This window comes from Homo sapiens, chromosome 3 (genome assembly GCF_000001405.40).
Source record: "Homo sapiens chromosome 3, GRCh38.p14 Primary Assembly".
Classification (NCBI taxonomy): Eukaryota; Metazoa; Chordata; class Mammalia; order Primates; family Hominidae; genus Homo; species Homo sapiens.
Window position 1 is genome coordinate 65352978 of NC_000003.12, and position 23426 is coordinate 65376403.

At 40.3% G+C, this 23426-nt stretch overlaps 1 protein-coding gene across 6 annotated transcripts in view; it reads right to left on the reverse strand.

Moving 5' to 3' along the window:
- Positions 549-23426, reverse strand: part of MAGI1 (membrane associated guanylate kinase, WW and PDZ domain containing 1) — a 685393-nt gene continuing 662515 nt past the window's right edge. For 2 of the 6 annotated variants that reach the window (NM_015520.2, NM_001365904.2), the window contains exons 19-25: positions 22768-22968; positions 11876-11969; positions 11688-11748; positions 10488-10631; positions 8222-8360; positions 6087-6175; positions 549-4155 (exon numbers count right to left, since the gene is read on the reverse strand). In NM_015520.2, coding sequence (NP_056335.1) covers positions 4099-4155; positions 6087-6175; positions 8222-8360; positions 10488-10631; positions 11688-11748; positions 11876-11969; positions 22768-22968 — 785 coding nt within the window. In that variant the 3' untranslated portion in view covers positions 549-4098. Of the gene's footprint in view, positions 4156-6086; positions 6176-6294; positions 8361-10487; positions 10632-11687; positions 11749-11875; positions 11970-22767; positions 22972-23426 lie in introns of those variants that run through there. The other 4 variants (NM_004742.3, NM_001365905.1, NM_001365903.2 and 1 more) reach the window with 3 other exon arrangements.

A 23426-nucleotide genomic window follows, 5' to 3' on the forward strand; every position in this document is an offset into this window, starting at 1 on the left:
CGCAGAAATCTTCCTCAATTAAAAAAAAAAAAAAAGTTCGTGTCATTTACTGAGGACTCTTCTGATTGCCAAAGATGTGTATCTATTCTTAGCTCTGTGAAGTATGTCCTTTTACAGATGAGGAAATGGAGGCTTCAGAGGAGGTTAAGGAATGTGCCCAAGAATCACACCAGAAGTGATGAAGCTCTTAGCTTGGCAGGATTTGTTTTATTATCAGGGTTCTGTGCTATACTGTGCTGTGCTGTTTAAACTTTCATGTGCATAAGGCATAGCTGAGGATCTTATTAACTGTACATTCTGACTCAGTAGGTCTGGAGTAGGGCTGAGAATCTGCATTTCTAACAAGCTCCTCAGTGATGATGAGGCAGCTGGTCCACAGACCACACTTTGAGTAGCAAGGCACTATGCTATTGCAATGGCATAGATCCTGCTCTTTCAACACAACGGCATTTCATCAAGTTGGAGTCAGGGGCCCTCAATTGATTACTTGACCCTGATACATTTGAGACAACATAGAGACAAGGAAGATATCAATCCAGAAGCAATAGTGGTTGTGGAATGCATACATTTCCATGTATTTTTACAGTAAAAATGCATTAAAAAATCTTTCACAAAAGAAACTTAAAAAATACAATTAGGGTGTTGAGTCCTCCCCCCCAACATTCTTTCAGGCATCAACTGTGTAACGGAGGGAGACAAATTCCTAAATCGTTTGATTTCATCATACAAAATACTCATCCATTATCTCTCATCAAGACATTTACATTAAGTGGGGGAGGGGGGCGGCGGGATTAAGGAAAGTAGGCTCACAAGAATCAGTTTCCAATTTAAGGTTACAGCAGTTCAAAGAAAACTATATCTTTCTGCATAATGCATAGTCCCTGTACAGTACAATATTTCCAAACAAATCTGATGTGTGGAATTCAGGTGAAACTGCCACACCAAAAAGTCCACGGATTGAGACAAGCCCAGGTGGGTAGCACATAGATTTTAAATTGCCAAATATCATCTTACAACAAGAAGGACATCAAGATGTTAACTTCAGGATATATTCCCAAAATCCACCTTGATTTCATTTATTTAAAACTCTGGATCACAATTGAGAGCATCAGTCATTTAACATCACAGATTTTGTTAGAACTAGTGAGAAGAATCCTAGCAGTGGAGCCCTGGGAATAAAATCTCCAAGTCAGCTCTTAGGAACTTGATGAAAAAGAACATCATTATTCAGTTGTACTCTTCCTCAGCCTTACTACAGCTCAATGTATGCTTTGTATGGAAAACTTTAATAATAAAAATAGCATTCACAGACTTTTCCCTCCTTTTTAGCTACAGAATGTATATTGTGTCTGTTCCAGGAAAGGAACTTGTTTTATAAATGTCCACACAACTACAGCTACTCATTCTAATGTTATGTATAAACCCATAAGTCAAATAAAGCTATGAACAATGTAATATTTATATATGCATAGTGTTTTATAAAAAGATTGGCCCACATACTGCTTTTCATCAATACAGAAAGAGCATTAAGTCCATAGCACACTGCAAGAAATAAATGAGTGAAGAACAGAGAATGCAAACAAGTGCTTAATAATTCACAAGCAGGCTCACCATGGAGGAAATGATGATATTCAAACCAACTAAAGCTTTAGAGAATTACTTATATAGTCTCCCATTTTAAAACAACTTTACATACCTGATTTAGTTTACATTAAAATATATCCCCATGAATCAATTTGTTCCATATTCAGAAATATAAACACGTATCACATTCCTCACAGCTAAATTTTGTCATAAATTCTCTTTTATACAAGAAAAAAAGGCAACAGTTGTTTTCTTTTTTTTCCCAACAGGCTCTATTAATTACAATTTTTAGCTCTGTACACGCAATGATTGGCTGGTTTTCTTTTTTTTTTTCTTTTTCCTTTTTTTTTTTCTTACAGTACCATGGGAACAACAGTGATTGACTTGCAAAGTTTTCTGTCTCTATGGAAAATGCAAAACAGTACTACAGAAATACACAATGCACTGTAAGCAGCGGTTTGCTGTAGTGGTCCAACAGGTACAAGCAAACATTTTGGCTCAGCTAGGCAGTAATCCACTTAAACCACATCCCGGGGCTACGGCCGACCCAACCACAGCTCCTGTGGGATCAAAAAGAATGGGTCTGTTTAAAAATAAAAATTGTTATGTTTTGTGCTGCTGTCCAAAGGACTCAAAGGACAGAGTCATGAGGCAGAAGTTTCCCAACCAGACCTAGAATCACTGGGACCACTTCCTTCCTTTCCCTTCTACCAACCTAGAGACTTGGACTATGGTTTCAAAGTGAAATTGGCATTTCTAACAATGAATACCCACAGCCCTCACTTCTTTAAATATCAACAGAGAGGTTCCTTCCACCAAGGCTCATTGCCTCCTCCCCAGTTTGGCAAAGGGCAACCATGGGCTTCTACTAAAAGGGAGGGGGGCATGCTTTCCAAATTGGGGATCTTACGTCTTCCTCACACCAGGCACACTGTCCCCCCATTCCATCTACTATTCAGCCTCCAATCAGACGAGACAACACGAAAGATGCTTGTTGTCTCTTCCTCGTAGTAATTGAGCAAAGCTGTGATGGCATTGCCTTCAATGAGATTTTATCAGATGTTGGTGATGATCACGAACCTGACTGTCTGTGCTTGGGCTGTATTTGAGTAAAAGTGGCCGACATTTTTGTCTGTGTGCCTTCCTGGGCCAGGGAGAGTACAAACTGTTTTCTGAACCAACTATAACTCACAATATAAAACTTCTTTGTGCTGCGCAGTTTAGCTATAAATATCCTTCATTTGCAATAGTAGTCTTGTCATACAGTTTGCTTACTTTTAGGATCATCGGCAAACCTAATCCATCCCCAAGGGTCCTCAGCTTTTACAAATAAAACTTTGCATTTTTGCTCTTTGCTTTTAAGAAAAACTTCCGACTACAGTATAGCACTACATCACTACATGACAGTCTATATCAAATTAATTAAACTTAATCAATAAATTCCCTTACGTAGAGAAAATGATCAACAGCCCCATTTAACCAGGAGAGAAAAAGATTGCCCCAAAACGGGAACAATTCTTGACGATTCTACAGGTTACGTAGAAACAAAATTTATATCCCTTTGGGCCAGCATTTGGCAAATAATTTCCAAAAAAGTATGCATTTAAAAATACTTTCTTTAATATGATACATCAGGCACAATACTTTTCATATATATTTTTTCTTATAAGATTTCAAATGCATAAAATGTTTGTTGTTATTCATAGGATCATCAGGTGTCAGATGCTTCATTAGGTAAGAAACTAAATAATTTCAGGTTTGTGACTTTCCTCTTAGAACCTTTGACACGGTAAAGGTTGGAATGTGACTCAGCGTCTCAGATACTGAGGTCGGTGCTACATTCTTTGTAAGGTCGCCTTCTCTGCTCCGGGGGATGTCTGGAACTTCTGCCGGCATCCTGTTTCAGATTCGCCTCTTCCCTTTCTCGGTGGCTGGCTCTGTCCTCTCTGTTCCTTTTGTCCAGGGACCGCTCTCTCCTGCGCTCGGGGGAGCGTGCGCGCCTCCGGTCGGTGGACTTGGCCCTGCGCTCGGGCGAGCCCCCTCTCCTGCGCTCGGGGGACCTCCTCTGCTCCAGGAGTCTCTCCAGAGACCGTCTCCGCCGGCTGGGGGAGCCGTCTCTCCTGCGGGTGGGTGACCGCTCTCGCCTCCGCTCCGGAGAGACGTCTCGTCTCTTCTCGTGCTTCTCCCTCCTCTCCAAAGTGTTGTCGGCGCTGCGGGTGCCCTCCCTCCGCTTCTCTGGGGACCGCCTCTTGGGGCCGTTGGCGGCTGCCGCGCGCTCGGCCTGCGCGTCCCTCCGTCCCTCCGGCGCCCGGTCCTTGGGTCGGCATGCCCCGCTGTCGGGTTTCCTCGAAGTCCCATTCCAGGTGTGGTGTTCATTGGGTTGTCTGCTATACTCTCTGCTGCCTTTCGGATCCCTTGCGTGTGCCCGCTTTTCCCCATGTGGTGATGATTTGTGAAGATCGGGTGGGTAACTGGACTCCAATGACGGATGCTGCCGGCGGTCGGGCCCGGCCCTCACTTCCGGAACACCTTGTGGACCGGTGGCGGGGCCGTGGCGGTCGCTGCTGGGGTCTGCCAGGAAAATAAACGAGAGCAACAGTTGGGTACGAAGGTCCCTCGGCTCCTGTCCCCGTTCCCACCCACACTCGAGACCTCATTAGTCACAACAAGCAAACAACTGTTAAAGCAGTCAGACTCAAAGCCAACTGAATCTGTTAACTTAAGGATAACTGCACGTAGTTAGGGTTAAAAACTAGTACTTGTGGCTTTCAGCGTCTGGCTGACTGAATGTTCTCCATACCCGAGACATAGATCATTAAAGAACTGACAAAAATCAGTCATGATTTGAGTCTTTAAAGGCACAATCCAAATAGTCTGTCTAGAGGCATCAAAATTTCCTCTCTGTAGCTATCCCTTGTTCTTCCTTTCCCACCCCCCCAACCCTTTTCCCCTGTGCCCACCCGTCTCCCACACCCAAGAAAATATTCTTTGCTTTAAAGAATACTTGTTTTGATTTACTTAAAAATAATTTAGGGTATTGATGTGAAGAAGGGGCACCTGGGAAGCTTTCTGGAGCAGGGCAGGAATCATCTACATCTTATCTGGGTGGTGATTAAATGGGCGCATACAGAAGTGAAAAATCTACTGCACTGTATATTCAGGATTTATGCATTTTACCATATGCAGAAGTATACTTCTATTTAAAAAAAATCCAGGGTAGCAGGCAAAGGGGATTACAGAGGCAACATGCTGGCCAGATGTTGACGACTGGCAAATGGGATATGTACGCAAGGGCCCATTAAACTGTCCTATCTGTATTATTCAACTACGTTCTCTACTTTTGCACACATTAAAAAATAAGGAACTGTTTTTAAAAGGTGTTTTCTGATAGATAAAAGGTAGGGGAAGAGAAGCTGCTAAGTACACATTTGAGATTGGATGGGGGTCAAATAAAATTTTTGGTTTAGAGGCATTTTTTCTTTATGACATGGGAGGCAGTCATAATGACATCTAAGAGCTTGGAGTCACTGGGCTGCTTCCTATAACATCAAGGTTTCTACAGGTTTAAAAGCAGGGCAGCCCATAATGGCCCCTATTTATCATTATTCAATATTTGAAATGACAGTGCAAATGTTTTAGGCAGTGTCCTGAATTGAGGAGAGCTCTTTTCAAAGCTAGGATGCTTTGTTGCAACTAAACCCAACAAGTCATCCACATGACACCATTCCAAGCAAAGCACCTGAAACAAGGCACTGCAGTCTGGAGGGCAGACTTGTATGACAGTCAGAGACTAAGGGGTCACTGGGGCTCTTTAAGGATCTTTCATGAGCCAACAAGGTCAATATTTAGCAATTAACCTGTTTCATGACAACTTCCCAAAACCTAGAGTGGGTTTTTAACAAAAAGCAAGTGAAAAGCCAAAAGCAGGGGTCAGCCAACTTTCTCTAAAGGGCAATAGTAAATAATCTGGGTGTTTTGGGCCACACCATCTCTGTTACAGCTATTCAGCTCTGCCACTGTGGTATAAAAACACAGGCAACACAAAAGTAATGGGCGTGCCTATGTGTCAATAAAACTTTACTTACAAAAACAGGCTATGGACAGGATTGGGCCCATGGACTGCAGTTTGCAAAGAGATACCTGACCAAGCAGGAAATCTCGTCTTCCCATCTAGCAAAGCCCTACGATACAGGGCTCCATGAAACAAGGTTCATTCTTTCTAAATACTGGGTTGGCTACGAGAATGAACAAAAAACAGGTTCTTAACAAAGGTCATGTGAAGATGTGGATACAGGAAGGCACTTGGATCACCAGTGGCTTCTTATGCCTACTTTTAAGACAAGGGAAGGCAACACTTCAACAGGGTCAGCGTTGTACTTACAATTCAAAGAACGCAGGGTGCTCAGAATGAATTGCCAAACATATCAAAACAGAGCTAAGCAGAAGCAATGAGGAAATTAGGCCACAGCACAGAAACACCTAGTATTGATTGAGCTACAAACCGTAGTTTGATTATGGCCCATAAGGTAGAAGCAAGCCTCCCCGAGCTTTTCATTTCTCATACATGCAGCGATATTAGGAGGTATCATCGCTGTGGAAGGGAGGGCCCAGCACCAAGAACAGTCAGAGAGAAGGAGAAAGAGAGAAAGAGAAAAAGTTGAACATTTAGATTCCCTATAACACAGAGGAAAGAAAAAAAATCTACATTTGTTAACATAGGGCAAAGAGAGTTTATTTGTCCAGTCAGACAGTCTAAGGCAACACTCAAATAAGGCTGCAGAGACCGCAATCGGAACAGTGACATTTTTAGACAGCCATAAGGTGACTCGAGAACCCAGACAACGAATGCATCCTTTTTTGTTTTGTTTTGTTTTGTTTTTTCAAACAACTGGAACAATGACAGGCTGGCATAGGAGAGCATTAACAATAAACAACAAAAGAACAAAATCCCTTCCCACCCCCACCAAAGACCGCGGCAGTTAAATTAAGTACAAAAAACTCATTACAAAAATAGCCTCACAGAGAAGCAGGTTCCAATCAAGTCAGAAAAATATTGGAACTTAACATATTATAACCCATTTGTGACTCTAATCAATGGAATTAGAGAGATTTAGTCCAAGTGACGCATGGAGACATTACAGTAGCACAACCCTGTGGCAGGTTCAACCCTTCTTGGAAAACCATGTATTTAAATGATCTTTATTTTTAGCCCAAAGAACATTTGTTAGTGTTGGATTTTCATCCTCAGTGCAACAGACATAGGTTTTGAGAAGGTACACAGGTTACTGACGATGACTCTCAAATGAAATATCACATCCAACAGAAGCATAGGGAAGACAGAAAAGGGAGACAATGTTACACAGTTTCAGTGGTATCAATACACCTAATGGTCAGAAGTTCAGTACAGTGCACAGCCACGGCATCTTAATGTTGTCAAAATACTTCCCCTGTGGTTGGCCATGTCTATAGGGGCCTTGTCTAATACCCACCCTCCCCCTGTACCTCGGACCCCTCGTATTTTGCACCTGTACAAATGTCGAACACCTGGGAAGGCTGGCCCTCCAAGGAGCTATCCTTCTCCTTGAGCTGCATCTGAATTAAACATCTCATCAAGTCCAAAATGCAACTGAGAATTGTGCAGAATGACTTTCAGAAAAGAGGGTGATAATAGATAAATCCCTAATAAAGGGGACCAACGTATCTGGGGACCATTCAATCACAGTTTCTATAGAAACTTTGGTAGACCTTTGGTTGGGAAAAAAAGCCCTACATCTAGGGCATAGCTTCTTCTTTTTTTTTTTTTTTTTAATTTTAAACACAAATCTCAAATAAATAGGACATAATTATTATCATATACAATATTTTGCCATCAGAACACTAAGCTATGTAAAGATCATTGCTGTCTACTCAAATCAAGTCTAAAGATATGACAAAGGAACTCTATGTATAACCTGGCTTTCCTCATAGGAAAGGTATAGTCACATGTTTCCCTCATGATGAGCACTGGGAATTTATTTCATCCTTTATCATTTAAAAACATTATGGCTAATATATTAACAGTTTTTGTTTGTTTGTTTGATAGTAGTGGGCTCAGATGGTCTGATTTGGGGTAAGACACCAGTTGGGGGATGGAGAAGTGTTGTATACAGAGCATAAGGGAGGTTAGCAAAGCCCCCAAATCTCTCAAAATTTCATGCCTCTTAAATAAAGACACCAAGTAACCAAAAAGGAAAAAATAATTGTGCCTCAACATATCACTCAGGAAACCTGCTTTCCTGCTTCTTAAAAGGAGTATATAGTCATTTTGTGCTAACAATTGGATCTGAGGAACAGTTTGGCACAGTACAAACAAACATTCCTTCGCTCTTGGTCGGACTAGACAAAACGTTCTCTCTGATTATCAGAAAGGGGGCTATAAAGATCTTGTCTTAGGCCATGCCCCAGTCCACGTAAGCAAGCAAAAGGATGAAATGTGTAGAGATTTCAGAACAAGCGAGGCAAATAATCACATGGTGCGAGAGGCTGGTAAGACACTGGTGAATAGGGGAAACAAAAAAGACTTTCCTGCTGCCGTTCTGGAGACAAATTCATGGAGTCATGCCAGGGAAGGAAGGAATGTTTTCATAGTTTGACCCACCATATTCTGGTACTGAGCCGTCTCCCCGCTTCAGAAACAGACGAACTCTGCGGCCACCATTCTTAATCAGTTCTATAGCTCGAGAATGCTTCATGTTTTTGGTGGTCTCACCATTGATCTCTAAAATTTCATCACCAATCTGCCAAAGCAAAAGAAAACTAAGTGAGATTTGAAATTCATGTACGGATTCACCAAATGTTTATTAAGCACGTGGCAGAACATCTATTGCTTTGGAGGTGGCAGTGACAAAAACAAACAGAAATCCCTGCCCTCATGGAGATTATATTCTAAAGAGGGAAAGACAATTAAGAAAATTAGAAAACTACATATATGCCAAATCACATGAGAAAGGGGGGAAAAAAAGCAGTAAGGGCATGTTAATGGTTGGGGTAGGCAGCTTTTAAGAAGGCTCCCATGATTTCTGCCTCCTTGCATTCACAACCTGTGTAATCTCCCCCTGCCTTTGAATGTGAGCTACGTCAAGTGACTTGCTTCTAATAAACAGAATATGGCAAACATGATATCAGTTCAAAGATCAGGTCATAAAACGATTTTGTCATCTGTCTTACTTGCCCTCTTTTCTTCTCTCACTTGTTTGCCCTGATGCATGTTATGAGCTATCCTCTGGAGTCCCATGATAATGAAATGAGGGACTGCCCTATAAGGCACTGAATCCTGGTAACAACCACGTGAGTGAGCTTAAAAAGCAAACCCTTCCCCAGGTGAGACTTCAGATGAGACCATAATCCTGACTGATGTATTGAATGCAGCATTCACTTTGTGTCAGCCACTATTTTAGACACTGGAAATAAAAGAATAAATAAGACGAGGCAGATCCCCACTCAAATAGAGCTTATATTCTAAAAAGAGGAGGAATGGCACTGGCTTTCAAGTCTACAGTCTTTAATTTGAATCCTATCATTTGGTAACTGATTTGCTCCCAGTACTTTAACTTCCTGGAGTCTACTTTCTTACTTATAGAAGAGGCTGATAATACCACTCACACCTACCAAGCTGCTGGCATCAAATCAGGTAATACATGTAAACCTGTCATGTAAACTATACACCATTATACAAAGTAGCATAATAATATTTCATTTGATTAACTTTTTAAAGAGATTAAATTTTTAAAGTAATTTAAAGTAAAGTAATTTAAAGTAATTAACTTTTTAAAGTGATTAAAAGGCAAGGGAAAATAAATTCCTTATATCTGAAATTTCAAACAAAAAAAATATGTACCACCATGTATCTCCCCTTGAATATATACATGCAAAAGAAAAGAATATGAGAGAAACTGGTATACTGTTTGGCCCTGGACACTGTATTTTTACTACATTTTTCACTGTTTAATTTTCTTAAAACACATTCAATGCTCTACCTTCTCAATTTTAAATGTTAAAAAATTCATGCTGAACAAACTTAAACATCAAGATTGTGGCTTAAGTGCAAGTGTTACGATCCTCACCCTTAATCAGTTTTTCCCTTTTTCTGCTCAGGCCCAACTGCATTCACTTTTTTCCTTTCCTGGCCTGACTGTCTTGATTTCTTTTAATTTGTTGTAAATGGCTCTCCATGGGCAATTCCCAATCTATGTGACCTATCTATGGGTAGATGATTTATGTTTTCTTAATCATCTAATCTGCCCAGGAGAACAGCACATTCATCTACAGTAACAGATATTAGCGAAACAGAGCAGAGTGGACTTTTGGCATTTATGTATTAAAAATCTGTAGCTCTTACTACAGAGCAACTCTGAATATTCATGCCACAGAGCCCTGGCTCTTTGCTAAGGCAGAGAGTAGACTTGCTGTCTCTGAGCCTAAGGTAAGACCACTGGTAACCAGCTAGAGGATAAGTAGACCTCACTGCCCAGAATCTACAGGGCCATATGGCTTTCCTGCTTTCTAAGCATCCCAGGGTACCCCAGAATTCCTGTCAAGTGATGTGCCTGCCCCATGACATTAAGCACAAAAACTATAGAAATGGGCTCTGAAAAATATCTACTTTAATATATTTGAAAGTAATTTAAATCCTTTATTCCCTATATCAACCCCAAAGAGTTGGAAGTGTTCACCTAACTTTAGCAGCTATAATTAATTGTGCTTTAGGCAGAAATATTTGGTAGGGTAGGAGTCATGCACTTAAGAGAATCATGAAAGCTATAGAAAATGTAGTTCTTATGAACATGAACATTCTAACCATATATGACAAGAATTCACTGCAGATGGTTTCTTTGCACCTACCCCAGACTCCTCTCTCCACTTACCCTCATCTTTCCACACCTCTCCGCAGGACCGTCCTCTGCTAAGCGCAGAACATAGAGGTCCATGTTATACTCTCGGCCTCCTCGAAGGCTAAAGCCAAATCCCTTGGCTCCTCTTTCCAGTTCCACAGTGTAAAAATCTTGCTCCTATTTAAAGAAATTAAATGCAATCATTCTAGGAGAACTAATATCCATAGGACTCTTCCTAAACATTCTTGGCAAAAAGGCACAATCTCTATCCCCCTCTTGGTGACTCTTGTTTATTAATAATCTTGATTCATCCTCATTAATCTCAGAAGTCACAGATCCAGAATTTGAAAACAGTTATGAGCATGTCTATATGCATCTGTGTATTTATTATAACATGTGGATTAAAATTTAATCAGTGAGGCTGTGATTTGCATTTGGGGAAGGACAATTCCTCATTACATGATACCAGCCACCTGGCTGCTGGATGCCCAGCCTCCCTGACCTGTGTCCAATAAATGCTGGCTGTGCCCATCATGAGGATACCAACAAAACCTCTCCAAATCCTGATCAAGGAAAATTATGAAGGGATAACTGAAAGCCCCCAGGCAACCAGTAAAGAAAGAACCCAGCTGGGGACTTGTAATACCAGCTACTCAGGAGGCTGAGACAGGATGATTGCTTGAGCCCAGGAGTTTCAGTCCAGTCTGGGCAGCACAGTGAGACCCCTGTCTCTTAAAAAAAAAAAAAAAAAAAAAAAAAAAGGAATCTGTTTAATTTTGCATCACCCAAAGTTCCTCAAATTTGTTTCACCTGCTAGTATTTTCACACTCTCCCTCGCCATCCTGAGGACAGGCATTTTGCTCTATGGATCTCACCTTAAATTCTCAAGCCTGAAAAACACCTTATCACAAAGACATTTTCTTGGCAGAAGCATGTTTATGAATACTATGAGTAGATATTGGTTGCTTTGCTTTCTCTAACTGCCGATCCTTGTGACAATTACTGCTTTTCATTTTTTTTCCCCTAGAAAAGGCTATCTAGGAATATTTTAAGGTAGTAAAATAACATGTTATTTCCTAGACAATCAAATGTAAGTATACGTTTGGTAAATCACCTCACAAAAGGTTATTTCTTTTAAATTAAAGGTGCTTCAAAAAATATCCCATAAAAGTAGCTTGAGAAAGTTGGAAGGAAACGTGCAAAGTATAGAGAAAAAAGAGACATGGTGCTCACCTGTGTTGCTTGGGGTGCTTTGAACTCAAATTGAGATTCCTGCTTTGGTTTGGTGGTATTCCTGCCAAAGTGAAAGAAATAAATATAAGAGCAACCCATTAGCAAACTGAGAAAGAATCAAGGACATATATTGTCATGCTGGGAGTTACTTTTTTCCCCTTTAACAAAGGAAACCAGTCATGTCTGACCTTGTCTCCTGGGTCCCTTGCTGAGAAGGGGTGTGTGTGGTGGTGATGGTGGCAATCTTCTCTGCATTGGTCAGCAAGGTGGCATTCGAGGACTCTGCAAAGAGGGACAGAGCATAAAGAAATGAAGACCCCAGAGAAGACATCCTCCAGCCAGGAGGTGTGCAGAAGCCCTGTATCTGAATAACAAGTGTGACTTCTCTGTCCCCATTTCAAGCAGTCTGACTTGAATTTCTAGACAATTAGGAGTTTAATAAACCATTTTAAGATCTTCTCTGATGTGGGTCATGTATGTCCCCATGACCCTCCTCCCAAACAGACATCTCCACAAATAAAACAGAGTTTGCCAAAGAAAACACTGCTCTAAAATTCTAGCCAAGGTATATGTTTCTCACTCCTCCCCTGCCACTGAAAAAAGGCAGTCCCATCAAAGTGCTGCACCACAGCAGAATTCTCTTCCAGAACTTTAAAGTCTGATAATTAATGTCTCTACCAATGTTTCCTGCAATTTATCAGCAATATTTAGTGAGTCGGCTTAATTTCCTCAACTGAATATTAATATCAGAAGTGTACTAACAACTTGTTAAACACACATATAATATCCACTTTCTTTCCCACTGCTTTTAATAAAGCACAACTGAAAATATGGAACTCCTGACAGATCTTGTTTGGTATCACTCATGAAAAGTCCTATAGTAATAGCTATATGTTCTTTACTAATAATTTCTTCATTAAGACCAAGGCAAGTAGCAACCAACTATGAGCAAGTTGTATTTTTAATATTTAATTGTAGGTTGACTGAAACTCGTCATACATTTTCTAACAAAGAAAATGCTAAATGTGGTGTTAGGTTCCATTATAAGATTCACCTGTGCATGCCCATTTAATTCAGTGCACCATCAAATCTAGAAGTTACCAGGAGACCTATGGCTTATAGTAGGCACTTTCGTGTTTACTGAATACATGTATCTTCCCATCACATTTAACTATTATATGGGAAAATATGTTAACTATTCCAAACTGAGATACCTATAATATATATCTTTCCACTGGAGTCCTGGAACAAAAGACATCCCACAAATCCCAACTACCTGTGGTCTATCTTCCATTTACATTTCCCAAGGATCTTACTCAGCTTTGGTCCGGCTTCCTGTTATTTTATTTTCATGACACATAGTGGTTAAAAGCATGGGCTTGAGATTCAGACCTGGGATCAAATCACCTTTTTTTCCTACTCATTAGCTGTGTGCCTTATTTTTCTCATCTGTTAAAATGGGGTGATGACAATAATTCCCCTCTCATGGATAAAAGTATATGCAATGTTTAAGCTCTGTGCCTGACATACAATAAGCACTCAATACACATTTATTACAGCTACTACTTTTTATTACTATGAGACCTTGTATAAGTTATTTAAGCTCTCTGCAAAATGAGAAAGTCGAAATATGATTTCAACAGTTAATTTACTGCAGCCATAAAAGCCCATTATTCTTCTAGCTAAGGCACAAGAGTAAGAAGAAAATAACTAAATCAAGTGAATTGTTAGGTGAATCCCATTCATGTTTTGGGACAATGTTTCCCAAAATCTGTTTTACCAATCATTTCCTATGCACTCCTCTGAGTCTTTACTACACCAATATGCCTGTGACCGTCCAAGCTGGGGAGGTGGTGTTTCTCAGGCTTACTGGGAGACAGTTTAGCACAATGGTGACTAGGTCAGATTCTGGAGTCAGACTGTCTTATCTGACTTTGCATTCTATGCTCTTCAATTTCCTGGATGGGACTTAAGCAAAGTTACTTAAATTCTCAGTGCCTCAGTTTTCTCGTGTGCACATTGGGAATAAGAGAATTATCTAAGGAAATTGGGGCAAAGATGATCCAAGAAGATTGTTTGGAATACTGCCTGGCACACAAAAACTGCTCAGAAGTGATTAGCATATTTTTGGTACCATGTGTTTATTATTGTCATCATAATGTTAAAAGCATATTGTTCGTATATTTTAATGACGCTATTTTAACAGCAAATTATTTTCAGAGCTTTTGGAGGAAAACTAGCTCCTTCATATGACTCCCATTTGAGGGCAGTTAACCAGCAGAACCAAGGTGATGAATCAGTGATATTTTATAAAGTACGCTCACTGTGTCACTAAATAGGACAAACAAGCTGTATAGCCCATCGCTGTGACTCTCCAGAACTTTCATAAACACGTGTATTGGTCCTTTAGCAAACTTCATATTGCTCATTGCAATTAATTTTATGGAGACTCTCAGAAATCACCAGGTTGTTCAGGCCATGGGGAAATCACAATCAGGATACTAAAAAGAATGTCTCCTTGTAATCAAAGTGATTATAATGATTGAATTGTACAGAGGTTCCTCTTTACAGTTCTTGTGTGTTGTTGGTAGCCAGAGTTTTCTGAGCAGATCAGATTCCATTCTCAAATTATTTTTATTTTTCTGCTGCTTTCATAATTTGATGAGATAATCACCCAATACACAGAATTCCTTTATTATTTTTATTCCCATCCTTTATTTGCTATTTTTTTTCCTCATCTGTATGTCTGTGAAACTCTTTTTTGGGTTGAAGCTTAATTTTAAGCATAGTAAAATTAACATTTAGCATGGAAATGTCGATTTGACCTTGCTGAATTTTCCTCATTTGTTGTTTATCTTAATCTATGAAGCACCACCATTTAAGGATGGTTTAAACGTGCCAAGCACTGTGCTAAGTCCATTACCACATACTTCATTTGACTCTCACCACTCAATAAAATAGGTGCAATTATGGCCCCAGTTTACAAATGAAGACACTGGGGTGTAGAAAATGTAGGTAATATGTCTAAGGTCACTCAGGCAGCAGGTGGAGATACTGGGAATTAAACCCAGGACCTGCCTGACAGTGAACTTTTAGTTTTTGGTTTACGTAGGAATCATGTGTTGGTATTGAGGAAATCATATCTAATTGGAACATTCCTTTCAAAAAAGAAATAATTTTATTTTACTGTATAAATACTACCAACCTCACCAAGCAGTATCAGAGATGAATTAAAATATGAAACACCCTGCTTTGATGGCTAGATTTTATAAGCCATCCTCAGAGCAGCACCAAAATAATTTTAGGTATACCCTAGATTTCCAGGATGTTTTTATACTATCAATAAAGTTATGCTTGTTTTAATGAACTTTTACTTCTTCATTTGGAATTAAACCAGGATTGTATTTGCTGAAATGCTCTCTAGCGCTTTAAAATATAAAGATGAGCCCATTATAAAAAAGAGCTTTATCCCAAAGCAAAATTGACTACTTACGGTGGAAAAAATATAAAAGAAGGGCCTGAAACAAGAGTATGAGTCTCCCTGCCCTCCAGAAACAGTATTAGAAAGAGGTGTCAATGTATTTGACTTTTAAAACTGCAAGGCACATGGACAGATTAGGTACTTTATGACAAATTCCAGAAAGTACCCAACATCCTTTATTAAACAGTGTTTATACCTACTTTAGCTCTCCCAGAGGAGTGAAAATGGAGATTACTACACTTTCAATAGCAGTCATGTATCAAGAGAAGCAAATCCCAGCTCTCACAGCCCTGTCCAGGGACTATTCCAAATCTCGGCACTTACTCTTCCAACAGCAGCTTCCATCTTGGGTTTCAACCTATCTATCTGTGACAAGCAATTACAATTCTAACCTTGTTCCCATATTAATATCCTCAGCCTCCCCTTACGGAATCCACATTGAAAGCCAAGCAAATCAACAAAGGATACAATTATTCCTGTTGTAAATATTTTACTGGATAAACACGTATGTAATAAATATCTAAGGGCGGCATGGGGAAATTTGAATCCCATAAATATTTGAAAAGTTTTGGGGGACTTTTTACTATTCTAATGCCTTTGCCAAGGAAACAGCAATATCTATATGTTGCCAAGCTCTACCTCCTACATAAGCAAATACTTTGAATCAGAGTGATCTGAAGTGCAAATTTAGGACCATTATTCAAATAAAGCATTTTTAAGCTTCTAAAGATTTTCATTATATTGAACTTGATTCAATCTGATGGTTCCATGTTACCTGGCTCAGGGAGCTTCTGTCCTTGTCTGATTAAAGTCTCTCTCCCACTCCATGGGGCATCTCCATACAATGCAAATGTTGTTTGACTTCTTAGATTTCAAGTTCAGATTCAGTAAGTTCAGCTATTCTCTGGGCCCTTCTGTGCTGCCATTGTGTATTTATTCATTCATCCCTTGCCCATATCTCACAGGAGAGAAGGTTCTGCCCTCCCCCATTGTCCACCCTGGTCCCAAAGAGAATCAAAGCAATGAAGGTAAGGACTCCCCCAACCTTGGCCTGACCAAGGCTGTGAAAACACTCCTGCCAGACCTTCTAACATACAATAATGCCAAGGAAAGAGGAATCACGTTTTGGAGGTTTTGTTGGAAAAGTCAGAGAAAAATGTGGGAAGCAGAGTGAGGGAAACTAAAGACTGAGATGAGTGAAACTGCAGAAAGAATAAGGCTACCGATGACAAGAGCAAAGAATTAGATAGCATGAACTAGACATGGAAATGGACTCAGAGTAGACTCACGCACTGCACAAAGGGCAGAGCATCTTTTCAAAGGGCCTGCTGGGGTTTCGAGAACAGTGTCCCAGACGTGATGGATTCTTTTTTTTTTTTTCTGGAGACACAGTCTCACTGTCTCCCAGCCTGGAGTGCAGTGGTATGATCTTGACTCATAGCAACCTCCGCCTCCTGGTTTCAAGCAATTCTTGTGCCTCAGCCTCCCAAGTAGCTGGGACTACAGGCACGCGCCACCATGCCTGGCTAATTTTTTGTATTTTAGTAGAGACAGCGTTTCGCCATGTTGCCTGGGCTGGTCTTGAACTCCTGAGCTCAGGCATTCTGCCCACCTTGGCCACCCAACGTGCTGGGATTACAGGCATGAGCTACCATGCCCGGCCCCAGACGTGATGGATTTCTAAGAGCTTAGAAACCACTCTGAGTTAAGACCTTCAGTCTCCTTGTAGATATCATGAAACAAATGGTTTTTGGGCCACTTGATGAAGTAAATATTCGAGTAAAAAATCTGAAAGAGACCTGAGGCATAGGCACCTCCATTTTACCTTGGAATCAACTATGTCCAACACGCTTTCACAGAAAGGAAGTGGATCCAGTGTGATTATCTCTTCACTGAACTGTAATGCTCACTCTTTGTCTTCTGGGGGTTTGCAAAATCCTCCTGGATCTCCCACATCTTTTGAGAAATCTAACTCCCCTGCTTCAACTCTAATTTCCAAAATGCTGTTTCTCAGACCCACTTAAAATAGGAGCATCACCATGAACCCGGGAGGCAGAGCTTGCAGTGAGCCGAGATCATGCCACTGCACTCTAGCCTGGGTGACACAGCGAGACTCCGTCTCAAAAAAAAAAAATTGAGCATCACATATTCACCCTCTGCCAGACTTGATTCCCTTTACCGGGCTTCTGGCACTTACAAAGTAACTAGAGAAGAGGCTTATTATCATATCAACCAAATTCCTGAAACATCTTGGATGAAATCACATGCTCAGCAGAACATGTATTGCCTTAAAAAATATCAATCCTCAACTATGTTGTACCAGTTTTATGTTTACTTGTTTCTAACCAAGGTAGCACAAGGTGTCTATGTGAATTTTATATTTCCTACATATTTAAATTTTAAAATTGCCTTTATAATGCCAACTGTTATTGGATAATCCACCTTGCATGATAATTTTTGGTGTTCAGGCTTAAAAGTTTTTTTTCCAGGGTATTTTATTTTGTTTGTTCTGAGACATGGTCTCAGTCTGTCATCCAGGCTGGAGTGCAGTGGCATGATCAGGGCTCACTGAAGCTCGACCTCAACCTCCTGGGCTCCAGCCATCCTCCCGCCAGCGTATCCTGCCCGTTGCCCCAAATAGTTGGACTACGGGTGCAAGCCACCTCTCCTAGCTAATTGTTTTGAATTTTTAGCAGAGACGACGTCTCGCTATGTTGCCCAGGCTGGCCTGGAACTCCTGAGCTCAAGTGATCCTCCTGCCTCAGTCTCCACAAGTGCTGGGATTACAGGCGTGTGCCACTGCACCCAGCTGTGTATTTTATTAAATTAAGTCAACATCTACTATCTACACTGCAGAATAAGTCGCTTCTGAGTATTTATGTCTTTACTGACTTCAAACTCTTTTTCTAAGCTCTTCACTCAGGGAGTACTTTCTTTCCTTCTTTTGGATGTTCTCATTCCCACAATAAGATTGACCAATTATAAACCCAGCAAGTCAATCCCTGCGTCCTGTTCTTTTGGGTTAGTCTGTTTGATATCTTTCCATGACATGTTGATAAACGTGTCTAAATCCATACACAAAGCATACCTCGGAGATATCACGGGTTCAGTTCCAGATCATGGCAATAAAAAAGCAGGTATTCCAGTAAAGTGAGTCATGCAAATTCTTTGGCTTCCCAGTGCATATAAAATTCATGTTCACACTATACTATAGTCTATTAAGTGTGCAATGGCATTATGTTTAAAAACACTACATACCTTAATTTTAAAATACTTTATTGCTAAATAATGATCACCTGAGCCTTCAGTGAGTTGTAATCTTTTTTTGCTGATGGAGGGTCTTGCCTTGATGTTGATGCCTGCTGACTGATCAGGGTGGTGGTTGCTGAAGGTTGGGTGGCTGTGGCAACCTCTTAAAATAAGACAACAATGAAGTTTGCTCTTCCTTCAATGAAAGATTTCTCTGCAGCATGTTGCTGTTTGATAGCATTTTACCCTAAGTAGAACTTTTTTTGAAATTGGAGTCAATCCTCTCAGACTCTGCCACTGCTTTATTAACTTAAGTTGATTTAATAATCAAAACCCTTTGTTGTCATTTCAACAAAGTTTGCAACATCTTTACCAGTAGATTCCATCTCAAGAAACCATTTTCTTTGTTCATCCATAAGAAGCAACTCCTCATCTGTTCAAGTTTTATCATGAGATTACGGCAATTAAGTCACATCTTCCGGCTCCACTTCCAATTCTACTTCTCTTGCTATTTCCACCACAAAGGAACTTCTGCAGCTTCTTCCTCCACTGAAGTCTCGAAACCCCTCAAAGTCATCCATGAAGGTTGGAATCAACCTCTTCTAAAATCTTGTTAAGGTCAACATGTCTCCCATGAATCATAAATGTTCTTAATGGCATCTAGAAGGGTGAATTTTTTTCCAGAAGATTTTCCAAATCTTTCCAAATGGATTTTCCAAATCCATTAGAGCCATCACTATCTATGGCAGGTATAGCCTTACAAAATACATTTCTTAAATAGTAAGACTTAAAAGTCAAAATGACTTCTTGATCCACGAGTTGCAGAATGGATGCTGTGTTAGCAGGCATGAGAACAACATTCATTTCCTTGTACATTTCCATTAGAACTCTTGGGTGACCAGGTGTATTGTCCATGAGCAGTAATATTTGAAAGAAATTTTTTTCCCCTAAGCAGTAGGTCTCAACAGTGGGCTTAAAATACTCAATAAACCACAGCACAACATATGTGCTGTCATCCAGGCTTTGTTGTTCCATTTCTAGAGCACAGGCAGAGTACATTTAGCATCATTCTGAAAGGTTCTAGGATTTTCAGAATAGCCAGATGAGCACTGGCTTCAGCTTAAGGTCATCAGCTGCATTAGCCCCTAACAAGAGAGTCAGCCAGTCCTTTGAAGCTTTGAAACTAGGCATTGATGTCTCCTCTCTAGCTAGGAAAGTCTTAAATGACCATCTTCTTTCAATAGAAGACTGTTTTGTCTACACTGAAAATCTGTCATTTTGTGTAGCCACCTTCATCCATGATCTTAATAATTAAATCCGCTGGAAAACTAGCTGCAGTTTTATATTTGCACTTGCTGCTTCCCCTTATACTTTTATGTTACGGAGATGGTTTATTTCTTTAAATCTCATGCACCAACCTCTGCTAGCTTCAAAGTATCTTCTCTAGCTTTCTCCCCTCTCTCAGCCTTTACTGAATTGAGGAGTTAGGAACTTGCTCTGGATTGGACTCTGGCATAAGGGAATGTTGTGGCTGGTTTGATTTTCTATCCAGACCACTCACACTTTCTCCATATCAGCAATAAGGCTGTTTCGCTTTCTTAAAATCCATGTGTTCTCTGGAGTGGCACTTTTAATTTCCTTTAAGAAATTTTCCTCTGCATTCACAACTTGGATAAATGTTTAGCATGAGGGATCTAGCTTTTGGCCTATCTCAGCTTTTGACATGCCTTCCCTCACTATGCTTAATCATTTCTAGCTTTTGATTTAAAGTGAGAGATGTGTGACTCTTCCTTTCATATGAAGAGTTAGAGGCCATTGTAAGGTTATTTATTGTCCTAATTTCAATACTGCTTTATCTTGGAAAAGGGAGGCCCGAGGAAAGGAACAGAGATGGGGAATGGCCAGTCAGTGGAGCAGTCAGAACACATATGACATTTATTGTTTGTCATCTTATGTGGGTATGGTTTGTGGCACCCCCAAACAATTACAACAGTAACATCAGAGATCACAGGTCATCACAGCAGATATAATAATAATTAATACTAATAAAACTTGAAATATTGTGAGAATTACCAAAATGTGACACAAAGGCACAAAGTGAGCACCCGCTGTTGGAAAAATGACACTGACAGACTTGCTCGAAGCAGGGTGGCCACAAACCTTCAATTTGTACAAAATGAAGTACCTGCAAAGCGCAATAAAATGAAGTGCAATGAAAGGGGGGATGTCTGGACCGCATTTGGCTCTCTCAATCACTTCTCACTATATTTTCTGGCTTCCTTCATCCTTCCTATTAGGAACCTATGTTCTATCATCTTGTGACCACTTTCCTAAATTGTAACAGCTTTCCAGAGTGGTGAATTGGTGGAATGAACTCCAGACCAGTTGGTAAGTGACTAACCATGCATTTGAAGGAGGGTCAAGTAGATCATCATTCAAGAGGCCAGTGTTTTCCTCCACATTTAGTGTGGGATATTTTTGGTGCAGAGAAAGTTCTCTGTTCTTGGAATCAACAATTTTAAATTTTTACTGTTTGGTTTTGCATTTACCTTTTCCGTAAGGCACCGGCTATACCTTTCAAATCTTGAACTATAAAGTTCACTTTCTAGCAGTTAGTATATAAAAATACTCATTTGGTAAATAACTTTCAGATGAAACCCTAATTTTCTTATTTTATAGATACATGGCATAGAGTTTTTATCACACTATCTTCATAAACTAGATTTTTTCTTGAGAAATACTCACTTTTAGAATATATATTTTATAACATGTATAGCAAGACTGAAAAAAGACATTTAAACATTTTGGGACAAGTGTCACCTTCCTCCCAAGAGCAAAGTCAGCTTAGAATAAAGTGAATATTCAGGAACTAATTCTCTAAAGGATCTATACTTCCTGGCCTTAGTGTATCAACTTAACTTTTTTTTTTTTTTTTTTTTTTTGAGATGAGTCTCGCCCTGTTGCCCAGGCTGGAGTGCAGTGGCGCAATCTCGGCTCACTGCAACCTCCGCCTCCCAGGCTCAAGCGATTCTTCTGCCTCAGCCTCCCAAGTAGCTGGGACTACAGGCATGTGCCACCACGCTAAGCTAATTTTTATATTTTTAGTAGAGATGGGGTTTCACCATGTTGGCCAGGCTGGTCTCAAACTCCTGACCTCAGGTGATCCACCCGCTTTGGCCTGCCAAAGTGCTGGGATTACAGGCGTGAGACACCGCATTCAGCCTCAACTTAATTTTTATTAAACATGAATAATACAATGAGTATTGGTATTTTGTGCTGGGTAACTTTTTATTGTGAGGGCTGTTCTGTGTTCTGTAGGATGTTTTGAAGCATGTCTGACCTAACTAGATGCTACTCACACCCACTGCAGACAATGCCAATGTTCCCTGGGGGGCAGAATCACCACTTACATAAAAGAACCAAAGATTTGAATTTAACTAATCACAAAAACAAATAAGGACAGGCCTAGTTTAATGCAGATACAATTTATCAAAAATATAGAGATTTCATTCTTTCTTCATTCACATCCAAAAATTAGGGAAAATCCAGTAGACACAAACTCTTAGATTCTCCCATTAAATGAAAAACTTTGATATATTCACTTATTCTAAAAAACCATAGTACTGGCTCTGAATTGCCACCATGCAGGTTTTCTCATGTCACCATATAATACAGCTCATATTATACATATCAGAGGATCTGTACCACCTGTATTAAAACTATTTTATAGTGTTGAAGACAAGGACACAAAAAGCTAAATAAGTTGAGGAAAGGGTGAAGATTTTTCTGAAACTTTTTTTTTTTTTTTTTTTGAGATGGAGTCTCACTCTGTCGCCCAGGCTGGAGTGCAGTGGTGCGATCTCAGCTCACTGCAAGCTCCGCCTCCCGGGTTCACACCATCCTCCTGCCTCAGCCTCCCGAGCAGCTGGGACTACAGGCGCCCGCCACCGCGCCCGGCTAATTTTTGTATTTTTAGTACAGACGGGGTTCCACCGTGTTAGCCAGGATGGTCTCGATCTCCTGACCTCATGATCCACCCGCCTCGGCCTCCCAAAGTGCTGGGATTACAGGCGTGAGCCACCGCACCCGGCCTGAAACTTTTATATTTGCAGCAACACAGGGTCACAGGGCTACAGGATTAATTACACAAGAGGGTGAGGTATGGGTTAGTAACAATGGCTCACGTTTACCTGATGGGTATATTTAGTTAGGGATGAATAAAGCTGCCACTAAATTAATACTATTCAGTTACACGAACACTAATCAAAGAGAGAGAAAGAGAAAAGGAAAAGACAGAGACAGAGAGAGAGAAAAAGAGAGAGAGAGAGAGAGATAATAGGTATACTTTACCATCCCCAGGAATGATGCGGAGGGTAACTGTGTTTCCCGCTTCCTTGATTAGGTTCACAATGTCTGAATGGGATTTGTTGGTGATGGAACATCCATTTACTGCCAAGATCCGGTCTCCTACTTTCAGCTTGCCACAGCGGTCAGCAGGGCTCCCCTCAATAATCCGACCTATTTTGTGAGGCATAGCCACACATGCATTGCCTGCTTTGATATTGAGTTTTAATTTTTTTAAAGTTACGTGGGAATATAGCAAAGGGAAGAGAAAAAGGGTTGAAAAGGGAAAGAGAAGGTTAAGTGTTAATAAATTAAAGCATTAAGCAAATGTTATTAAAGGAGAGCTCTGCACCGATGGTCAAAACATTGGCAATACTCAGGGTGTCTGTATAAGGAGCTACTGCCCTGAAACTAGAATTCATTGCTGCCATCCTTTCCAGATTCAAAATTAGGGGAATCCCCAGCTTTCCTCCTTAAACCAATTACAAAATTTGGGATAGTTGGCAACTTCAAAGATTTTTAAGAGCCCCAAAATAACTGGCTGTTCGCTTATTTTGGGACTGCAAATGTGAAACCCAAGGCTGGGATGGATGCTTTTACTCATTCTGTGTTCATGTCACTTCATTTTTGCCAGCTGTTGTTTAAGCTTCTGCCAATGTTTTGTT